The sequence below is a fragment of the Homo sapiens genome, chromosome 4 (assembly GCF_000001405.40).
Source record: "Homo sapiens chromosome 4, GRCh38.p14 Primary Assembly".
In the NCBI taxonomy this organism is placed as follows: Eukaryota; Metazoa; Chordata; class Mammalia; order Primates; family Hominidae; genus Homo; species Homo sapiens.
In genome coordinates, this window is record NC_000004.12 from 183,443,387 (window position 1) to 183,449,386 (window position 6,000).

A 6,000-nucleotide genomic window follows, 5' to 3' on the forward strand; every position below is an offset into this window, starting at 1 on the left:
TTTTATGTAGTTTCTTTTGGTATGGCAGGAAAATGGGCAATATTGTTTTCATACAATAGCTGTATTTTGTTCCAGCATGCACATAAATTACACAGTTAACCTTATCTGATCTTACCTAAAGTGACCTTTTTTTGCTTGCTTATTCTGATTCATGCATTTTTACATCAAAGTCTACATTTATTGAAAGAAAAATTTCATAATTTATATCATTTAACGTATTTATCTTACAGTGCATGTATACCTGGAATGGGAAACGTAACAATAAGCCAGCCAGCAGTTAGAGTACGTAACTGTGGGAAATGTAAAGTGGAAAAAAATATATAGAAGGAAAAAACAGCTCTAACAGGGAGAGAGGTTTGGGGCCCTATAGATAAATAGGTACATTTCCACTCCACCTCCGGACATCTGCCGGTTGGTGGTAAAGCTGTTGATTTTAGGAAATTCTAGAGACAGAGCGTTGTCGGGGTGTTGTTTTCCTACTGACCAGAACAGGAAGGCAATGCCTGGATTAACTAGAGACCTAATAAACTGCGGGAACAAGCCCTACCGCTGCGGGGCCAGGGCCAGCTTCGAAGGCTGCAAGCCTCACGGCAACACGGAGCCAGGTCCTCGTGTGACCTTACTGTCTACTGCTGCTATGTAAGGGGACTGGCACTCCCGCCCTCCTGAAGGCGCGGAGACCCCGACGGCCTCGGAACGCTTCGCTCGGGCACACTGAAAGCAGCGCGAGACGCAGCTCCCAACACTCTAACATGGAGGCCGGCTTTTGTTTGTTTTGGCCCCGCTCACACACAGGCGTCTCAGGGCGGAGACCACAGGCCCCGCGGCTGCGGGCGGCTCAAGGTCCCCCGGGACGCCCCCCTAGCGGACTTTGGCCGCCGCGCCCGGCTGCCTCCCTTGCCCGGGCCCTGCCCCTCTCGCCTCTGCTCCCGGCGCCGCAGCTGACCCGGCGGGGGAGGAGGACGGCAGGAGCGCGCGGCGTCACAAAGCGAGGACAGAACGCCCGGGGTTCCGCCGAGACTCGGTCGTCCCAGGCCAGCTCGACTTGCAGTCCGCCCTCGTGGGGCGGGAGACGCCCGACGCCCGCCCACCTCACCCCCGGGGTGCCCTCCGTGGCCTCACGGGGACGCAGCGTCGCAGCGGCCCCGGCGCCGCAAAGCGTCTTGGGAGCGCCGGCTCGCGCCGGAAGAACGCGAGGGCGCGCGGCGGCGGCGAGGTTATAAAAGGGAAGAAGCCGGCGGTGGGCGGAAGTGGGCGGTTCGGCGGCTCTGGGCGCTGTTGTTTGGTCTTTAGGCCTGCGGAGGGGCGTTATCTGGAGGGCCGCGGGTGCAGGCCGCAGTGACAGGGCCGCTCGCCCCGCTAGTCCTGCCTGTCTCCCGGTGCAGCTGTGTTCGCGGCCTGCAGGCCCAACATGGCGCAGGAGGTGTCGGAGTACCTGAGCCAGAACCCGCGGGTGGCAGCCTGGGTGGAGGCGCTGCGCTGCGACGGCGAGACTGACAAACACTGGCGCCACCGCCGGGATTTTTTGCTTCGCAACGCCGGGGACCTGGCCCCCGCTGGCGGCGCTGCCTCCGCTAGCACGGATGAAGCTGCCGACGCCGAGAGCGGGACCCGAAACCGGCAGCTGCAGCAGCTCATCTCCTTTTCCATGGCCTGGGCGAACCACGTCTTCCTCGGGTGCCGGTGAGTGAGGCAGCGTCCCTAACCAGCACGCCTCGTTTTGTGTGCCACCTGCAGACCGGGGCCCGGCGCCCTCCGCGGGACCGGCCTCGGCGGGGAGGGGAAGTTGTGAAGCGCGGGAATCCGCCGGCCCGGCTGCCCTCTAAGGGGGAGAAGGGCGTCCCTGCGAGGAGCCGACATGATTCCCGGACGTCTGTGTGCCCGGTGGTGTGGGCGCAGCTGCTGGTAGGGTTGCTTGTGTTAGGGAACAACGCTCTTGGGGACGGGTGCGAGATTTAAGATTAGTGAGGAGGTGCCCTGCCTCCCAGACCCTGGGGCACTTGTTTATGGGGTTCCAGGAAACAGTTCTTGGCGGTTGGTTCACTTTCTTGATTGCAGCCAGGAAATGCAGTCCCTGTGGCCTGTTTTTTGCACAAGTAGGACCTTAGAAAAAACACTTTTTAAAAATGACTTTTCCTTCTTTTTCAGATACCCTCAAAAAGTTATGGATAAAATACTTAGTATGGCTGAAGGCATCAAAGTGACAGATGCTCCAACCTATACAACAAGAGATGAACTGGTTGCCAAGGTGAAGAAAAGAGGGATATCGAGTAGCAATGGTTAGCAGATCATAGATGTGAACATACATAGGAGTTTAGAGCATAAGTTTGATATAATTAGGAATTATTGTTACTAATTTTTTTAACAAGCCAGAATTTTTATGTTATTAATAAGTAATAAAGTTGGAATGTTAAACCTAAAGTATATATCTGTGTCTTTAGGCTTTGAATTTGATAGTTTGCTTTGACTGCTTTAGATTTTGAAGTGTCCACTGTTGTCTGATGCTGTTATTTTTTTAATATTAGACATTCATGATGTTATTCAACACTGTTTTAAGAAATTAATGACTCCACACTTTTTAAAGAAACGATTAGTCTTGAAATGTTTTCACTTTGTGCCTTTATTTTAATGTGTATTTGTCTCATCACCCGTTTTGTACGAGGTATTCTTAGTCACATATCTATGTTTTTCTTCTTTTTAGAAGGGGTAGAAGAGCCATCCAAAAAACGAGTTATAGAAGGAAAAAACAGTTCTGCAGTTGAGCAAGATCACGCAAAAACCTCTGCCAAGACAGAACGTGCATCAGCTCAGCAGGAAAACAGTTCAACGTGTATAGGGTCGGCCATCAAATCAGAGAGTGGGAACTCAGCTCGGAGCTCTGGCATCTCCAGTCAGAATAGCTCTACAAGTGATGGAGATCGATCTGTTTCCAGCCAAAGCAGCAGCAGCGTTTCCTCTCAGGTAACAACGGCAGGATCTGGGAAAGCTTCTGAAGCAGAAGCTCCAGATAAACACGGTTCTGCATCATTTGTTTCCTTGCTGAAATCCAGTGTGAATAGTCACATGACCCAATCCACTGATTCTAGACAACAAAGTGGATCACCTAAAAAGAGTGCTTTGGAAGGCTCTTCAGCCTCAGCTTCTCAAAGCAGCTCAGAGATCGAGGTGCCCTTGTTGGGCTCCTCAGGAAGCTCAGAGGTAGAATTGCCACTATTGTCTTCCAAACCTAGTTCAGAGACAGCTTCAAGTGGGTTAACTTCCAAAACTAGTTCAGAGGCAAGTGTTTCATCATCAGTTGCTAAAAACAGTTCCTCATCAGGCACATCCTTACTGACTCCCAAGAGCAGCTCTTCAACAAATACATCGCTGCTAACTTCCAAGAGCACTTCCCAGGTAGCTGCATCACTACTAGCTTCCAAGAGCAGCTCCCAGACCAGTGGATCTCTGGTTTCCAAAAGCACTTCCTTAGCAAGTGTGTCCCAGTTGGCTTCTAAGAGTAGTTCTCAGACTAGCACCTCACAGTTGCCTTCTAAAAGTACTTCACAGTCAAGTGAGAGTTCTGTCAAATTCTCTTGCAAGTTAACCAATGAAGATGTGAAACAGAAGCAACCTTTTTTCAATAGACTATATAAAACGGTGGCATGGAAGTTGGTAGCTGTTGGTGGCTTTAGTCCCAATGTGAATCATGGAGAGCTCCTAAATGCAGCTATTGAGGCTCTGAAAGCAACACTGGATGTATTTTTTGTCCCACTAAAAGAATTGGCAGATCTGCCTCAAAATAAGAGCTCTCAAGAAAGTATTGTTTGTGAATTGAGGTGCAAGTCTGTGTATTTGGGCACTGGCTGTGGAAAAAGCAAAGAAAATGCAAAAGCAGTTGCATCAAGAGAAGCATTGAAGTTATTTCTCAAGAAAAAGGTGGTGGTAAAAATATGTAAAAGGAAATACAGAGGCAGTGAAATAGAAGATCTAGTACTCCTTGATGAAGAATCGAGGCCTGTAAACTTACCTCCAGCACTAAAACATCCTCAAGAATTACTATAATGTGTCCAAAATATCACTGCATACAATATCTGGTATTTGAAGAGAAAAACTGACTTTTGTATAGTATAAAACACAGGCTTTCACAAATTTTGTATTGCTTTTTTTCCAGTTTTGCAGAAAATTTACATTCTAGTTCTCTTCACACAGTAGCAGTTGTAAATAATTTATGAATGACAGTACACATTAAAAGGTATGCATTAGCAGCATATTAGTATGCTGTTTTATTTGCTGAAGAAAATACTGTCTTCTATTTTTAATGATACATTAGGTACGATGTGTAGTTCGGTAGAGTCCTAAAATTTTTGTACTACTTTCAATTTGGTGAAAATGTATTAAGTTGTCTACCATGTTTTCTTTTCTAGCTGAATAAACCACATCAAAGGAAAGGGACCACAGTATTTGAATGTTTGAAAGTCTGTAAAGCTTAAGGTTTTAAAAATGTTGCCCGTAATGTTGAACGTGTCTGTTAAAAAATAAAAGAAAAAATAGTTGCTTCAAACTATTTTTATGAGAAGTTGTAAGCATTTTTTAGATATAAAGCAGTATAAAGTACTTGTTATTTTACTCTGAAGTTGTTTAAAATTCACCATGACTTTGACCGCTGAAGATTCTTTAAGCGGGTTAATTTATGTTTTGAGGTGGAATACAATTTACACTTTTTTCTTAAAAACATGAATGTGGGTTTCTATATTAAGCATATTTTGTGACTACTATTAACAGATTGATTTGTTTAGATATTAAATGCTTTAAGCTATTTTACCTTTTCAAGAAGTTGTGTTTTTTTTCTCCAAGTCAGAACCAATTCCTGCAAATAGGCTTCCCATGACTTGTCATTATAAATTAGACAACCAGGTAATTGTGTGATATACATCTTTATTTAATTTTTTTTTTTACAGCAATCCCCTGAGCCAGAATAGATTAAAAGCGATTCCCTTCAATTTTCAAATCTAGAACTGGATGGTTTTTGTGTTTATGCATCTTTTAGAATACCGGAAAGAACAGAGAGCCGTGTTCAGCTCTTGATAATGAGCCTATTCAATTTAACTACATTCGTTAAAATGAAGTGGAATTTTGTTTTCGTCTTAGGTGATTCTGCCTGTTTGTCTGTCATTGTATATTCTGTTTACTTTGCTTCAAACTGGCCCCAAGATGTTATTTTTGTGGTTTCTGGCTTTCTAGATTCTATTTTTAGATACTGCCCATTGAGCAATAATGGTGATAATATAGAGAGAAAAGAAAGACCTTTCATGGGCCAGTTGTGTTGGAATAGGAAAATCAAACGTAAGCACAATTTAAGTATGTAGCAGTTATTCCTATTTTGTATTCTAGGAATAAAAAGATACTTTAATTTTTTATGCTAGAATTACATAATTACATAATCAGATGTTTTAATTTTACCATATAACCTTTAAAAATGATTCATTTTTGAGGATATTTAATTGGATACCAAAGCTAAAATCCATATACTGTAAGTGGGTTGCCTTTATAGATTGCGGGACACAATAACATGAATGTATTGTGAAAGCACTTTTAGTTACCTCACTTTCCTCAGTCTTGGAATGTGTATTTTGTGGGATAATGATTATCAGAAAAGCAAAAAATTACAACGAACAAATAAATTTATATAATATATCCAATTAGGTGGTTTGGTAATTTCCTAAATTGGCTTGTTTCAAGTTACTATGAAGGTTATTGAGAATGTTTTATAGTGACTTTTGATGTGGAGGAAGTTGTTTAGTGTACATTTATGATAATCCTATTTAAAAACCTAGAAAAATGCTCTTGGTTAATAACATTTAAAGAATCCTGGTTTAAGAGAAATGCATATTTTAGAATTCTATTATTGAGAGTGAATCTTGGCTGTCTCTTACTAGACATGTAACCTCTGGGAATTTAACCTTTTAACCTTACTTCGTCTGTGAAATAGGACTAATAGCTGTCTCATAGAGCATGGCAGTT

At 44.0% G+C, this 6,000-nt stretch overlaps 1 protein-coding gene across 2 annotated transcripts, besides 2 other annotated features; it reads left to right on the forward strand.

Annotated features, from left to right (window-relative positions):
- Positions 725-1,274: a silencer, noted in NCBI's record as "silent region_15827". NCBI's record gives its function as "represses an Ori minimal core promoter by ATAC-STARR-seq in GM12878 lymphoblastoid cells {active_cell/tissue: GM12878}" and the evidence as "EXISTENCE:reporter gene assay evidence [ECO:0000049][PMID:35858748]".
- CDKN2AIP (CDKN2A interacting protein) lies at positions 1,250-5,678 on the forward strand. 2 transcript variants are annotated; one of them, NM_017632.4, is made up of 3 exons: positions 1,250-1,683; positions 2,149-2,279; positions 2,702-5,678. In NM_017632.4, the coding sequence occupies exons 1-3, from the start codon at positions 1,412-1,414 to the stop codon at positions 4,039-4,041; spliced, it is 1,743 nt and encodes a 580-aa protein (NP_060102.1). In that variant the 5' UTR covers positions 1,250-1,411; the 3' UTR covers positions 4,042-5,678. The 2 variants fall into 2 exon arrangements, with proteins under 2 accessions (NP_060102.1, NP_001304272.1); NM_001317343.2 differs by having other exon boundaries at positions 2,149-2,248.
- Positions 1,555-1,704: an enhancer, noted in NCBI's record as "active region_22184". NCBI's record gives its function as "activates an Ori minimal core promoter by ATAC-STARR-seq in GM12878 lymphoblastoid cells {active_cell/tissue: GM12878}" and the evidence as "EXISTENCE:reporter gene assay evidence [ECO:0000049][PMID:35858748]".

Bases quoted from the DNA above. Each gene is read 5' to 3' on its own strand.
- CDKN2AIP (NM_017632.4), top strand. From the start codon at position 1,412: ATGGCGCAGGAGGTGTCGGAGTACCTGAGCCAGAACCCGCGGGTGGCA. The intron at 1,684-2,148 runs GTGAGTGAGGCA...CTTCTTTTTCAG, and splicing joins CACGTCTTCCTCGGGTGCCG to ATACCCTCAAAAAGTTATGG. The intron at 2,280-2,701 runs GTTAGCAGATCA...TCTTCTTTTTAG, and splicing joins AGGGATATCGAGTAGCAATG to AAGGGGTAGAAGAGCCATCC.